Source organism: Homo sapiens, chromosome 6 (genome assembly GCF_000001405.40).
Source record: "Homo sapiens chromosome 6, GRCh38.p14 Primary Assembly".
Lineage (NCBI taxonomy): Eukaryota > Metazoa > Chordata > Mammalia > Primates > Hominidae > Homo > Homo sapiens.
The window spans coordinates 36,780,946-36,796,594 of record NC_000006.12 but is presented as its reverse complement, the minus strand read 5'-3'; the positions used below and the strand labels follow the sequence as shown (position 1 = coordinate 36,796,594).

General features: G+C 49.8%; 1 protein-coding gene across 15 annotated transcripts in view, besides 2 other annotated features; it reads left to right on the top strand.

Moving 5' to 3' along the window:
* CPNE5 (copine 5) overlaps nt 1–15,649 on the top strand; it is a 99,224-nt gene that overhangs the window by 43,404 nt on the left and 40,171 nt on the right. For 12 of the 15 annotated variants that reach the window (XR_007059285.1, NM_001376889.1, NM_001410887.1 and 9 more), the window contains 3 exons: nt 1,946–2,005; nt 4,149–4,199; nt 4,499–4,562. Coding sequence is in view for 13 of the 15 variants with exons in the window: in NM_001376889.1 (NP_001363818.1) it covers nt 1,946–2,005; nt 4,149–4,199; nt 4,499–4,562 (175 nt within the window). In the remaining 2 variants the exon portion in view is untranslated. Of the gene's footprint in view, nt 1–1,945; nt 2,006–4,148; nt 4,200–4,498; nt 4,563–9,363; nt 9,440–15,649 lie in introns of those variants that run through there. The other 3 variants (NM_020939.2, XM_011514769.2, XM_011514773.3) reach the window with 2 other exon arrangements.
* Nucleotides 1,807–2,471: an enhancer, noted in NCBI's record as "H3K4me1 hESC enhancer chr6:36761901-36762565 (GRCh37/hg19 assembly coordinates)". NCBI's record gives its function as "activates a minimal SCP1, AML or CMV promoter by ChIP-STARR-seq in primed H9 embryonic stem cells {active_cell/tissue: H9 hESC(primed)}" and the evidence as "EXISTENCE:reporter gene assay evidence [ECO:0000049][PMID:30033119]".
* Nucleotides 2,472–3,138: an enhancer, noted in NCBI's record as "H3K4me1 hESC enhancer chr6:36761234-36761900 (GRCh37/hg19 assembly coordinates)". NCBI's record gives its function as "activates a minimal SCP1, AML or CMV promoter by ChIP-STARR-seq in primed H9 embryonic stem cells {active_cell/tissue: H9 hESC(primed)}" and the evidence as "EXISTENCE:reporter gene assay evidence [ECO:0000049][PMID:30033119]".

Genomic DNA, 15,649 nt, shown 5'->3' with positions numbered 1-15,649 from the left:
CTCTAGGAACATCTGCCCCTGTGCCCACTTCAGTGTTAACCATGTGCTGAGTGTAGCATACCCATTAGCATCTGCTCTTTCCAGCAGCACCCCCACCCGTGGCTTTACCTGGGTTGCCAGGATGGAGATGCCCTATGAGGGAGGGTGTCTGTGCTTCCCAACTCCCAGCTGCCTGGGTCCAAAGCCACTAGTCATTTGGGTCTGTTTCCTTCCTGATCTCACCTGGTCCACCGTTGGTGACAGGAAACACCCTCTGGGGGTGGGGGAGTATTGAGGGAGACTTCCTATGGAGATGGCTTTTGAAACTGAGCCTTAAAGGACAAGCAAGTTCTAAAATATAGAGGTTGGCAGGGCTCAGTAGCTCATGCCTGTAATCCCAGCACTGTGGGAGGCCGAGGCGGGTGGATCACCTGAGGTCGGGAGTTTGAGACCAGCCTGACCAACATGGAGAAACCTTGTCTCTACTAAAAATACAAAAATTAGCCTGGCGTGGTGGCACATGCCTGTAGTCCCAGCTACTAGGGAGGCTGAGGCAGGAGAATCGCTTGAACCCAGGAGGCGGAGGTTGCAGTGAGCTGAGATTACACCACTGCACTCTAGCCTGGGTGACAGAACGAGATTCCATCTCAAAAATAAAATAAAATAAAATAAAATACAGAGGTTGACGGCAATGTTGGAGGAGGAGGTGGACCTTTTACCCCATCGAAGATTTCACATATCTTAGTTTAGTTGTCTTCCTGACTAAACCCTGTGAACAGCTCCTGTTTACTGGGCATCTATTTTGGGCCAGGCATGAGGGTCAGTGTTTTGCTTGTGAAATCTGTGTTAGTTCGCTGGGACCATTGTGGCAAATACCACAAACTGAGTGGCTTAAATAAGAAAAATTGATTTTCTCACAATTCTGGCGGCTAGACGTCGGAGATCAAGATGTCAACAGAGTTCATGTCTTCTGAGGATGGCTGTCTTCTTTTTCATCTCTGTGTCTTCAGATTGTCATCTCTCTGTGCACCTCTGTGTCCTAGTCACCTCTTCATATGAGGACACCAGCCATTGGATTAGGGTCCACTGCCATGACCTCATTTTACCTTAATTACCTCCTTAAAGACCCTATCTCCAGGCTGGGCATGGTGGCTCACGCCTGTAATCCAATCACTTTGGGAGGCCAAGGTGGGCAGATCACCTGAGGTCAGGAGTTCGAGACCATCCTGGCCAACATGGTGAAACCTCGTCTCTACTAAAAATACAAAAATTAGCCGGGCATGGTGGTGCGTGCCTGTAGTCCCAGCTACCTGGGAGGCTGAGGCAGGATAATCACTTGAACCTGGTAGGTGGAGGTTGCGGTGAGCCGAGATCACGCCACTGCACTCCAGCCTGGGTGACAGAGCGAGACTCTGTTTCAAAAATAAAAATGAAAATAAAAAAATAAAAAAGACTCTATTTCCAAATATAGTCACATTCTGAGGACCTGGAGATTAAGATTTCAATACATGAATTTTGGGGGATACAGTTCAGCCCATATCATGATCTCATGTGATTCTTCCAGCAGTCTCCCCATCTTGCAGTCTGGATGCGGAGTCTGGAAAGGGAGAACAGGGGTTCCCAAGCTGCAGCAGGTACCAGTGTCACCAAAGATTGCTGGGCTCCACCCCGCAGAGTTCCTGATCCTGTGGGTATGGGCTCGGCCTGGGAATTTACATTCCTATTAATAACATTCCCAGGACATGCTGGTGCTGCTGGTCTGGGCATCCCACCTTGAGAACCACTGAAGGAGAGGAATTTGCCCAGAAGAAGGACTCCACTTGCTCTGGCCTGTGGCTTTGATCCTGTTTTAATGACTTCCAGAGCAGCCGCTTGTCTCCAAGCATCTGGATGCCAAGTGCGCTGGCCTGTCTGGGTGGGGGTACTCAGCTCATGGCATGCTCTCTCTCCCCCTCTCTCTCCACAGGATAGGCGCATTCAGCCTGAATTCCAGGACGGGCAAACCCATGCCAGCTGTGTCCAACGGGTACGTTGCCAGACATCTCTGGCCCTGGAGTCCTTAGACATTCAGCCAGCTCTGCAAAGGGGGCCTCAGAGTCTGGGCCTCGTCCCTGCTCCCATCACTGCGAATTTGGCCCTGATCCGGGGACAGAGAGTCCTGGGTTCCTCCTTAGGCACCCAGGCTCTTTGGGCCCTGAACAGAGGCCCCCACTCGGCAGTGGGCCCCTCCCCCATCCAAGCTAGAGCTTGGGCATCTCAAGCCCCAGTGGCTCCTGGGACTTCAGGGAGAGGGTGGGGCTTACAGGTGGGGGATGTTGTCTATGAATAGCGGGGCTGGGCACTCTCTGTTCCCTTCCTCTCTCCCTGGCCTGGCTTCTCTAGGCCCCCAATCCCCACCCTTCTCTCCCCCTCTTTCCTCCCCTGTCTTTATCCTTTCCCCCCTGTTCCCCTCCCTTGTTTTGGCTGCTGGATGTCCGCCTCCTCCTCACCACAGAGTAGATCCAGCTGAATCCCCACTTTTCACGTTTGCTCGTTTGCTCGCCAGCTGCGGTGGGCCAGCCTCACTCCACCACCCTGACCATCTGGCTTCGGCTGGCCTCATGCAAATGTGGCCAACGCAGAGCCTCCCCCTCCTTCCCTCCCCTTCTTTCCCGGTTGGGGAGTTCCCACCCTGGCTTCTTTCTCACGCCCACTCGCCCACTGGGGCTGGAGGTGGGGGTGTGCAGGGCAGGGAACCTCTGCCTGGAGGGGCCTCTGCAGAAGGGCATTTTGTTGGGGTAAGCAGAGCTCCCCTGGCCTTCCCTGAGAGCTCTCAGGAATTGAGGTTGCAGCAGCTGGATATGCCACTGGACCAGCTGCAGGTGGGGAAGGGGCCTCCGGCGGGCCCGGGGATGCTCACAGCCCAGGGAGAGCATGGATGCTAATTCACCTGGAGAGTAGAGAAGCAGCAACTGGGGAGGCAGCAGGAGTCAGACAGAGATACAAAGACAGGGAGGGAGGGAGAGAGAGAAAGGAAGGCCAAGAAGGTGGGAGCAGGTTGGGGCTGGAGAGGAGGGAAAGAAGGATCGGAAATAGAAGAAGGACTCAGAGGCAAAGAGAGGAACAGATGGAGAAACATGGGGCGGAGGAGGCTGGCGTGGAGGATTCTATCTCCCTGGGCAAACAAATCATGTCTTTACTACCATGGAGGACCAGACCAGCGGGTGGGGAGGGGCTTTGAGGCACTCAGCTCAGCTGCCCAAGTCTAGGGGGACAACCTGGCAGGCACTGTCCCCTGTCCGTGGCAGGGGATGCCCCAGATGTGGCCCCCGCTCTGCTCACCTGATTTGGAGAGATCTGGGCTGTCCTGCCAGCCCTCCAGGGCCGGCTTCCCTTCCTCCCCTGCCTCCTCTGTTTGAGAGCCTCTCCCTCCAATAGCTGGTGCTGGGAAGAGCTCCATCAGTGGTTCTCAAAGTGTGTTCCACAGACAGCATGCTGGTGGCCCTGTGGCTGGCCTGAGGTGTGAGGCTGGATTTTACCAGCGTTGCACAATTGTGAAGTAAAGGGTGCAGGGAGGGGGATGCTGCTCACTGCGGGCCTTCTCTGTGCCAAGCACTGTGTGGTATATACAGTCACGCTCATTATATAGGGGAGAAAACTGAGGCTCAGAGAGGTACAGGAATGAGCCCAAAGTCACAGAGCTGCTGGACAAGCCGACATTTTCCTCTCCCTCCCAGTGGCCCCTGACTACACTGGGACTCCCCCACCTCTGGCTTAGTCCCAAACATTAGAGTGGGCTGGGATGGTGCCTGAAGGAGGGGGTCCTATCTAACCAGGGGAAGAGGTGGTTCAGTTCCCCTGAGTGGAGCCCCAGCCGAAGAACTTGCCCTCCTGGAGGGATGTGCTGGGGTGGACCGACTTCACGGACCTTGATCTGGTTGCCCACTTCACTGGGGAGCTGCACAGTCGGCTGGGATCTCTCACTCCCAGGGAGACCCCAGCCAAGGCATTTAAGGGGAGGTAGCCATGGGAAGGAGCCTGGGCAAGCTGCCAGCGAGGGCCCACCAGCCCTCCTGCCTTCCTCCCTCCCGTGACACATCAGAGTGGCTCAGAGCTGGACTGTCCCGGGACGCTGGGGGTCAGCTGGGTGTGAGGTGGGGTGGCTAGCCCATGAGGTCTTTTGCCCACAGAAGTGGTCTTTGGATGGAAAGTTTGAGAACCACTGGTCTGGAAGCCTCCGGGTGAGTCTGGATGCTTTTCCAATTCTAGGACTTTCACTGCAGGCACTACCCTTCCTGGTGGGCTCTCGGGGAGCAGGGGGTGGGGCAGCTCCAGGCTCGGGGACCCGGTCCCAGGAAGCAGTGCACTAGGCCACACTGCCACAAGGATCTCAGGAGACTCTGTCTTCTCAGGGGCTTTGGGGTGATCTGCTGGATGGTAGGGGGCGGGGGAGGATGGGCAGGGGGCTGATTGAGGGAGTGTCAGGTTTATGGCTCTGTCTTTGTCTGGCTTTCCATTCTTTCATCTTCTCCTCTCCCAGTGGTGTCCCAGGAAAGAAATGTGGCACCATCATCCTGTCCGCTGAGGAGCTCAGCAACTGTAGGGTGAGTGGCAGAGGACTCCAGCACAGGACGTGGTTGGGGTGGGGGTGATGGAGTGCAGGCTGGCCTCCCTGAGCCCCTGGAGGGAACCGAGGGTAGACAGGGCTCCTGATGCTGACCTGGCTGTCATAGAATTTTGCAACATCAGAGCTAGTGGGTGTTTTCCCTTTTTATAGCTGAGCAGACTGAGGCCCGGAGAGGAGAAGGAGCTCACCCACAGTCAGCAGCAGAGCCCAGCTGAGCCCCGTCCCCTAGCTCCCATGCCAGGGCTCCCTCCCCTCCCCATCACAGCCACCACTCACGTGTCCTTGAGCCGAGACTGCCTTGGCACCAACACTGTGGCAGCAAAGACCTTTTCAGTCTTGAAGGAAGCCTGGGTGCTTGACATTTAGCTGTCATTTTTCACTTTCAGCTCTGGAGTAGGGTGACACCCTGCATGGGGCGGATGGAGTGTGTCTGTGCGTACGCATGTGTTGGGAAGAAGTCTGCAGTCCCAGGCAGCCCTTGGTCTTGCTTTTACTGTAGGACTGTGGGGGAGCAGGAGATGGGGACAGCTGAGCACACAAAGAAGGGGCTCAGGGGACCTCATAATTAATAATAATGATAAAGTATCATAATGGTGATGGTCAGTATTTGTCAAGTAATAGGCACTTTACATAAGTTATCGCTGCTCTTGACAATCATCCTAAGAGGCAGGTACTAAAATGTTACTCCCATTCTATGGATGAGGAAATTGAGGCTCAGAGAGGCAAAGTCACCTGCTCAAGGATGACAAACAGCAGAGCCATGACTCTACTCCAGGTCAGCTTGATTCTAAGATCCGGGCTCAGCCCCAAAAGCACCACCATCTAACCTAAGAGTGGCTATAAAAGTGGGAAAGTGGTGGGGCTTGGAGAGAAGAGGAGGCTGGGACAGATGCAGGGAGAGGCAGGGTGCAAGTGTAAACAAAGCCTGGGCTACCCTGGGAACACAGCTTCCCATGGAGCTGGGAGGGATGACCAGGAGAAACAAGATTTTCCTACCTTCCTGGGAGGTCAGTGCTACGGATCAGCTATCAATCAATATTTACCCTACTAGAAATTTAAACAGAATTTTAATGTATGTATTAATTCCTTTAAAAATAATTTAATTCCTTTAAAAATAACAATAGTTGAACCCATTATGGGTCAACATAAATAACGCATTTTTTTTGGGGCCGGGCACGGTGGCTCACGCCTGTAATCCCAGCACTTTGGGAGGCCGAGGCGGGCGGATCACGAGGTCAGGAGTTTGAGACCAGCCTGGCCAGCATGGTGAAACCCCGTCTCTACTAAAAACACAAAAAATTAGTTGGGCCCGGCAGGCAGAGGCTGCAGTGAGCTGAGATTGGAATCTCGGCTCCTCTGCACTCCAGCCTGGGCGACAGAGCGAGACTCCATCTCAAAAAATAAATAAATAAAATAAGACATATTTTGAAAAACAACAATAACTCCCAATAATCATTTAATGAGAAGAGTGGCCTTGTTTTACATTTTTGCAAATCTCTTTAACGTCTGACTTAATGGAAGACATCTGGATTCTCATAGCTGCTTCTGTAGTCAATCTGTTGTGAAATCCCTGTCAGATAACCTCTGGAAAACTCTTCATCTTAGCATTATTATGTAAATAGTTTTGACCCCACGGATCCCTCGGGGTTCCTGGTCCATACTTTGAGAGCTGCTGGTATAGAGGTATAACAGTGTTAGAGAACATTAATTGAGTCATTATTTTGGGCCATACACTGTGGTAAGTGGTTTACATGTATTGACTTGCTTACCTAACATATTATAATATATAATGTAGTATGTAGTATGATGTGTTATAACATCTGATGAATTATGGTCCTCATTAATTTTCCTCACTTTTATAGATAAGGAAACTGAAGCACAGAGAGGTTAATTGATCGGTCCAAGGTCACACAGCCACTGAGTAGAAGAGATTTGAAACTTGGCAGTTTGGTTCTAGAGCCAAGGTCTTTAACCACTGGACTGTGGTGTTACAAACTCTGTTTCCAAGGACTTCCAGTGGAAGAATAAGACACACGAACACAGAATCGATAGTACAGGGCAGTCTAGAGATGACCAAAAAAATTCATATGTGACTGCTCACCCGGGTTGCTTATCTGTTAATCTCAGTGGATCTGAAGGCACTTGACAGCGGGAATGAACCCCACCCAGTGTGCACCCCCAGGGCAGGACTCGGGGTGCAGTAGGCATTCCCGAGGACCCATCACGAATATGTGACTGAATGATTAGGAAGCACAGACCGAGTGTTCAGCACCAGGTCATGGACAAAACACACGTGTCTGCTGAGGATCTGGATGCCACTGGAGTTCAGACAAGGGAGAGAATTCGGTTGCCCTGTGGAACAGAGCTGTTGCAGCTCCCAGAGCCTCCGTTTTCCACCTGCAGCTTGGCGCTGATAGGGTTGCTGTGAGGATTAAAGGAGTTCATGAATGTGAGTGTGTCTAACAGATGCCTAGGAAAGGGTGCATCTGAATTCCTTGAACCTAAATTCAGTGTTTCCCCAAGCTTCTAGCCCAGCTGGTGACTTTCTTCCTAGTTTATAACCAAATAAAGTCACATACATGAAAGCGCTTTGGAAATTCTAACGCTCTAGACAATGCTGGTGGCCGTTACTGGTCTAGCATTCCAGGGGTTGGTAAGCAGTCTTAGGTTGAATACCTATCAGGTGTTAAACCCTTCCTCTTCCTCCTTCTTCCCCAGTCCTCCCTACTCCTTCACCCAGGGATAGCAGCAGTTTTCTTGATTTAAGCTGTTCCAGCACCAGGGGTCTATGTCGGGGGCAGGGAGCGCCCTCCCTTCCTCCTGAGATTGTCAGCTCCTTTTCTTCTGGGGCATCTTTAGCTGAGTTCTGTCTCTCCCTAGAATCCTTGCAAGGAAAAGAGACTAATTCCCAGCATCTGGCTGAATTAAAATAATTACATCTGAACAGCTTTGCTTCGTCTTTCCAGCTCAGCATTCAGTGGGAGGATCAAAGGAAGAGGGTGGGGTCTGAGAGATGATTTTTCACCAGAGCAGGGCTTCCTGCTCAAATGAATACATTTTGCCGAAGTAGACAAACCCTCTCTTCATCCATGGGGATGACGTGGGCGGGTGGGAACCAGCAAAGGATGACAGTGGACTCCAGTGTGTCACCAGCATAGTTTGACAGGTTATAGAAAAGCCTTGTTCATCTGGAATTTAAATGTCAAAGAAGTTCCCACAATCAGAATTTGATCCAAATACTATCGAATGGTACTTGATGTTGACAGTCATGAGGTTGGTCTCCCGAAGGGCCTTCTGAATCACCCAAGGTTCAATTCTGCTCAGCAGTAAAACGATTGTTACTGCCTGTAATACAGCAGTAAAACGATTGTTACTGCCTGTAATACTGGCCAACATTGGTTTACCGAGACCCTCTTATTTAGTCTTATTTGATTCTGACTGCAAGGCTGGGGGGCTGGGTGGGTGTGAGTAACCCTGTTTTACGGATGCAGAGAAGTTAGTGGTCTGCCTAAGATTGCTGGGATTCTAGCTCAGGCCTTGGAACTCCTAATCCTCAGTCTTTCCCTCACCCCTGGAGCCTCGAGCCCTCACGGTACAGGGAACAGTCACCGACCTTCTGTCCCTTGTGGGGCTACTGCCCTCAGCAGGCAGGGTGGCTTTGAGCAGTGGAGGTTGGGGTTCACGCCTATAATCCCAGCACTTTGCGAGGCTGAGCAAGGCAGGAGAATAGCTTGAGCTCAGGAGTTCGAGACCAGCCTGGACATCATAGTGAGACCCCCCCCCGACCATCTCTACAAAAAAATTTTTTTAAATTAGCAGGGTGTGGTGGTGCACGCCTGTGGTCCCAGCTAATCAGGAGGCTGGGGTAGGAGGGTCACTTGAGCTTGGGAGGTCAAAGCTGCAGTGAACCATGATTGCACCAGTGCACTGAAGCCTGGGGAACAGAGTGAGACCCTGTCAAAAAAAAAAAAAAAAGAAAAGGTAGGGGTTGTTGTCAATACAGAGGGTTGGATAGCTCTTTGCCCTCCACTTCCCAGCCCCTTGGTTCCCCCTAGAGACCTGTCAGCCACCCAGACCTGCCTTGCTCTGGAGTCAGGACTTCCCGGCTCAGGATAGTACGTCTTTACCACCTCCTAGTCAGGTCCTTCCACCTGACTGGCCGTCCCAGCCAGGATGGTGGCGGTGGTCATGGAGGAGGCAGTGATGGAGGAAGAAGGGTGTGCCTCATCTCTCTCCTGCAAAGGGAGTTATAACTTCACACCATAACTGCCCCGGGGGCCTCCCCACCCCTTAGGTGTCACCAGCGTGCTCATGTATTCTTTCATTTCAGTTCAGGAAATATGCTTTGACTGAGTCCCTGCTGTCCCAGAATTTTTAATTTAGTATGAGAGATGGAAATGCCAACCGGCAATCACATGAGAGCAGTGGTCCTCAGCCCTGGCAGATCCAGCGCCTCTTCTTACAACAACTATTTTATCACACTCTTGACTATCCCGAAGGAAAATGTGTAGATACTATGTAATATGCCAATATATATAGACAGGTGGGAGAATGAACCCTTCCAGTTACCTGGGGAATATTGGTCCAAGCAGACAGAACAGCCAGTGCAAAGGCCCTGGGGCAGGAGTGATGGATGAGGAATCGGAAAGATGAGACTGTGGGTGGTGATGGTGGGAGTTGGGGCCAGATTGTGTGGGACCTCATAGCTGGGGAACTTAGCAGCCTGGATCCCAACACAATCAAAACTTTTGTTTTTCCAAAGATAAGCTTCAGGGAGAGGCCAGTTTCTCTACCTGAAAGATGAGGGAAGAAGGAAGAGCCATGGAGAAAGAGAGATGAGAAGGAAGAGTCAAAGTAAGTGGGGGAGGTGGTGAAGGTTCTCTGAGACTCGGAAGTATGCAGGTTGATACATAGGAGAGTCGTGTGTTGTGGCTGAGACCGATATGAGCATCCCGTGTAACCAGCATTCAAACATCACCCTTCTTAAGGTTAGTTTGAATTTTTTTGGTCTTAGAAATAATCTATCTGGCTTTTAAAAAGCCAAAACAAAGCAAAAGCATTTCTTCCTGATGCTAAAAAAAAATAACATATTCATTATGGACAAATTGGAAAATACAGAAAAATATAAACAGCATGGAAAAGTCACCCAGAGATAATCACTGTTGACATTTTGATGTGCTTCCTCCAAGGCTTTCTTGCTGAGTGTCCATGTACGTAATTTTTCTTATAATTGATATAATATAGTATCCAGTTTTATAGCCTGCCTTTTCCTGTATCATTATACATTTTTAGAAAACATGCACTTAATAGCCGCATGTTATTTCTCTATTGTATGGATGGGCTATAATTTATCAAAGCTGTTCTTTTTAGGAAACAATATAAATAATACTGTAGTGAACATCCTCATATCCAAATCGTCCTGTTTTTCTTTTGAACATCAGTTGATGGATTTTGGTTAGTATCCCAGAAACACAGGCTCGGTGAGTGGGAGGGAAAACGGTCAGTCTGGGGTTTTCAGCCTCTGAATGACCAAATCAACAGATGCACAACTGATTGGATTGTTTGGGAAGTCAGTCATTAAGACAACAAAGAAAAGCTAGCTTGGCCTCAACATGGTTATTACAGTCAATGCATAAAGACAGGCCCAGTCTCTCAGACCAGCTTCTGTGCCCACCATCTGTGTATGAATAACCTCCAGCCTGTGGGGTGTTCGCTGACGCCCCAGGTTTCCTGCTTCTGCCATCCTATCCCGTGAGCCCAGCTCCAGGCTCCTCCTCCTAGAGGGCCCTACTCACAGAATCACCCCCAGCTCCTGGTGTGTTTCCTCCTACTGGAGTGCTGATTCCTTTTCTTTTTCATTGATGTCTTATTTTTTTCTGACTAAAAAAGACAATATGTTAATTCTAGGAGATTTGGAAAATCCAGCACATTTTAAGGAGAAGAAAATAAATGTACCGTGGTCCTTCTTTTTAAATTTTTTTTTTTTTTTTTTTTTTTGAGACGGAGTCTTGCTCTGTCTCCCAGGCTGGAGTGCAGTGCCACGGTCTCGGCTGACTACAACCTCCTCCTCCCGGGTTCAAGCAATTCTCCTGCCTCAGCCTCCCGAGTATCTGGGATTATAGGCATGCATCACCACACCTGGCTAATTTTTGTGTTTTTGGTAGAGACGGGGTTTCACCATGTTGGCCAGGCTGATTTTGAACTCCTGGCCTCAAGTGATCTGCCCACCTTGGCCTCCCAAAGTGCTGGGATTACAGGCGTGAGCCACAGCGTCAGGCCTAAATTTTTTAAATTGTTATTTTTTTAGAGATGGAGGTCTCACTATGTTGCCCAGGCTGGTCTCAAACTCCTGGCCTCAAACCATACTACTGCCTTAGCCTTCTGAGTAGCTGGGGTTCCAGGTATGAGCCACTGTTCCTGGCTTTAAAAGTGCTTCTTAGGGCATGTAAGTTGTAAGGCACGGTGATTAAGAACTTGAGCTTTGGATCCAGACCAAAAGCCATTGCTTACTCCCTATGTGACCCTGGGCAAGTTACTTTTCTGTGCCTCTGCTTCACTTATAAAATGTCTTCATTTAAAATTTTGATATTCTGTTTATTATAGCTTTTGCATTGATTTTGATTTTTTAAATGTCACATTAAAAAAAATTTTTTGATGACCGAAATTTTGAGCCCCCTTTAAATTTTGCACACACCTCATACTTGTTCTGAATCTGGAAGCTGCCATTGAGACCCAACAGCCTTCTTCTGTTCTCCCCCTGACCTCCAACCTTCACAGCCCTCTTCAGGGGAGGGAGGTCTAAGATGCCAGAGCAGACCAGGCCACTCTGGAGAGCAAGGCTGTCTGCTATAATCTCCCCAGCAGCCCCATTAACATGCGGAGAGATGCAAATGGAGGCAATCCTGATGTTTTAGAAGAACTTAATATGTTTTTTAAAAAGATAGGGTGAAAGACAGAAATTGTAGGAAATTATATATTGCAGGAGCTGCTTTATCTTCTCTGTGATTGATTCCAGTGATGTTTCTGGTGGGAATGGCATTTCTTTTCTTTTTTTTTTTTTCCTCTCTCTCTCTTTGTTTTTGAGATGGAGTTGTCCAGTCTGGAGTGCAGTGGCATGATCATGGCTCACTGCAACCTCCACCTCTTGGGCTCAATCCTTCCACCTCAGCCTCCTGAGTAGCTGGGACTACAGGTGCGCACCACCACACATGGCTATTTTTATGTATTTTTAGTAGAGATGGGGTTTCACCATGTTGTCCAGGCTGGTCTCGAAATCCCGGGCTCAGGCGATCCTCCTACTTCGGCCTCCCAAAGTGCTGAGACTACAGTTGTGCACCATCATGCCCGGCCAAGGGGACGGCATTTCATGTGCTCAGAGAGCACGACTCTCAGGCTGAGGCTGTCAAATAGCTGAACCTCTGACCCTCAGCCAGAATTTGCTGCTCTGTTATCCTGCTGGCCCTGTCCATCTTATTGCCACTTTCTCCAGCCTCTTCTTGGGTTCACACATATATCAAGGGGTTGAACCATTCACAAGCTCCCACTTGTTCCTATGACTGTTGACGAAAGGCAGAGTGACCTTCCAAGGCACAGCCCCCAGGCGGTTAGTTACACACTCTTTGTCTCAAGGACTTCCCTGTGGCATGGGTACCCATTAGGGAGGAAGCTTGCCTTCGTTTCAGTCTAGAAATTTCTCTGAAGGCCTGTTTTATCCCCCACGGAGTCTACAATGGTGCAACAATGCAGATGATCACAGTGGACTTTTGGCAAATGTTTCTGGGTCTAGATTGTATTAGGGAGGGCAGATAAGGCTAAGGAACAAAATCAGCTGCCAACCCCCCAGCAATGCCTCACTTATCTGCCATCAGGGTTAGAGGGAGAAAGTGTTGCACACTGGCGGATTTTTCCAGTTAGCTGAGTTTCAGAGCCAATCCTTTTTTTGTTTTTAATTTTAACTGGTTTGCACAGAGGCCTTTCTAAAATGGATTTCACACTTCTCTGACTTCTCAAACTGAGGTTGGAATGTAATTAAACTTATCTTGATGACTTGAGGTCATCATTTGGAATCTCAGTTATTAATCTTTGGAGCCAGACTGTCTTGTTCCCATCTTAGCGCCTCTTGCTAGCTGTGTGACTTTAAGCAAGGGTGTTAACCTCTCTGTGCTTTGGTTTCCTCATCTTTAAAATGGGAATAATAGCCAGGTGCAGTGGCTCACATCTGTAATTCCAACACTTTGGGAGGCTGAAGTGGGCAGATCGCTTGACCTCAGGAGTTCAACACCAGCCTGGGCAACATAGCAAGACCCTGTCTCTGCAAAAAAAATTTAAAAATCTAGCTGGGCATGGGGCATGGTGGCACACACCTGTGGTCCCAGCTTCTCAGGAGCCTAAGGCAGGGGGATTGCTTGAGCCCAGGAGGTTGAGGCTGTAGTGAGCGGAGATCGCACCACAGCACTCCAGCGTGGGTGACAGAGAGAGAGAGAGAGAACCTGTCTGAAAAACAAAAAAGGAATAATAACAGTGCCTTCCTCATAGGGTTGTCGAAAGGATTCAATGAATTAATACATATAACATTATATCTACCTACTATAGCACGTACTAGGTAGAACCTTTTTTTTTTTTTTTTTTTTTACTTTTACTGCAAGTTCAGGGGTATATGTACAGGTTTGTTATGTAGGTTAACTTGTGTTATGGGGGTTTGTTGTGCAGATTATTTCACCCCCAGGTATTAAGCCTAGCACCCATTAGTTATTTTTCCTGATCCTCTCCTTCCTCCCACCCTCCACCCTCTGATAGGCCCCAGTGTGTGTTGTTCCCCTCTGTGTGCCTGTGTGGGTAGAACCATATTATATTGCCATTTTCATAGGCAAACAACAGCTGATTATTGGCAATTTCATATGGTTCACCCTAGTATGAGGTGGCACTCTGCAAGTGTTACCTCCTGCTCTGTGTGAGGCACTGTGGACCAGGATGTGACACAGGCCATCTCCTTTCGCCTTCTCCACAGGCTCACAAGGGGGCGCTATTCTTCTACATTACCCAGCCTCAGAGAGGTTAAGTTACCCACTAGGAGCTGCTCAGCCGGGAGGTGGCAGAGCTAGGATTCCAACCAGGTGGCCCTTGGCTCCTTTGTGCCGTTTTGTGTGTGTGTGTGTGTGTGTGTGTGTGTGTGTGTGTGTGTGTGTGTGTGTGTTTTGGTTTTTGTTTTATTATTTGAGACAGAGTCTCGCTCTTGTTGCCCAGGCTGGAGTGTAGTGGCGCAATCTCGGCTCACTGCAACCTCCACCTCCCAGGTTCTAGCGATTCTCCTGCCTCAGCTTCCCAAGTAGCTGGGATTACAGGCATGCCCGGCTAATTTTTGTATTTTTAGTAGAGACGGGGTTTTGGCATGTTGGTCAGGCTGGTCTCAAACTCCTGAGCTCAGGTGATCCACCACCTCGGCCCCCCAGAGTGCTGGGATTACAGGCATGAGCCACTGTACCTGTCCCTTTGTGCCATTTTTCGCCATCGGGTGCTAGGCTGAGACAGCAGCCCTCCCAGTGGAGCACTGAATGTCCCTGGAACTTATGGCCTGTCAAGTTCTTTCATTTTTTCTAATATTTCTCCCCCATTCCTGATCTCACAGGGCCTGAGGGGTTCCTAGGAAGCAAAACTAAGAGCTGTTGCCTCTGGATTTTGTGGCCTCTGTTTGGTTGTTTCAAGTGTATGCATTTTATAGTCAACCAGTGCAGGCTGAACAGGTCCTGGGTGGCTTGCCTGTGTTTCTTCAGGTAAGAATGTCACTCAGGCGACTTCCAGATTCGTGCGAGATCATGATGATGACAACCAAACCCTGGCCAGGGCTGGGAAGGCTGGGGGGATCCTGGCTTTCTCACTGTCCCCTGAGTGCCACTGCTCCCCACAAGAGATGGCTATTTCAGTGTTCCCCATGTGGCACCTACTGCTCAGCTTAAAAGGATTGTGGTGGTCATCCCATTCCACGCTCCACAGACGAGGAAACTGAGGCTCTGAGAGCTTGAGTGACCTGCTCAAGGCTATGCAGAGCCAGGACTAGAGCTCTGAGCTCTGAGTTCCTTGCTGGGGCCATCCCCGCTGCTCCCCTGGGAATCTGGGCCTCTCTTGGTGGTTTTCTGATGCCACTGCGGGTCACCTCTGTGGGAAGGAGACAGGGCCAGCTGCAGAGGCGTGTGGCCTGTGTAGTCACACGGGGACCTGTGCTTGGTTTAATGCTCTGCTGTCACTATCTTGAATCTCCTGATTGTTTTTGAACAGGGGGCCCCACGTTTTCCCTTTGCTCTGGGCCCCACAATTTATACAGCCAGCGAGTAGCCCATCAAGTCCTGGGCCACATCCCTGTCCCAGGACATGGATGGGGCTCCCTAGGGGGGCATTTAAAGTGTTCCTTCCATCCAGCATGGGACGGGATTAGAACTTTCTCCTGAGGAGGGTGTGCCTGCCCTGCTGCTTTAGAAGCCTAGGGACTTTTCTGGAGGGATAAGAGTGAAAACTCTGAAATCTGACTGTCTGAGTTATGCACTCTAGGACTTTAGGCATATGATTTAACCTCTAAAAACCTCAGTTTCTTCATCTGTAAAATAGGGAAACAAGAGTTATTTTGTATGGTTGTATAAAGTATGAAGGCTTAACACAGGTCCTAGCATCTAGTAAGTGCTCAGTAAGTCAGCTGTTCTTTTATTCAGGGCCTGAGGTCCTAGATTTCTCTGGAGGCTCCAGGATTCTTGGAGCTTCTAGGGCCTTGGAAGCCCCCAGTCCAGCTTCCTTCTCCCTGTCTGGTGGGCGATGATGAGAGGCATAATAAAAGTCGTCATTACCTGGGCACCTCCTTGGGCAGGTCATTCTGTCTCCAGCACCACCCGTGCTTACAGCCTCTTCCCCATCCCAGGGTAACCGGAATGCAGCCCCTCCCTGCCCAGGCAAGCCCAGAGTCTGAAGAAATCAGCCGATTCTAAAGAAAACAGGGAAGTGGTGAAATGTAATTTGTTCTCTCTCAGGGGGGCAGAGTGGTACTGGAAGAGGCATGACTTTGAAATTAGTTTATTTATG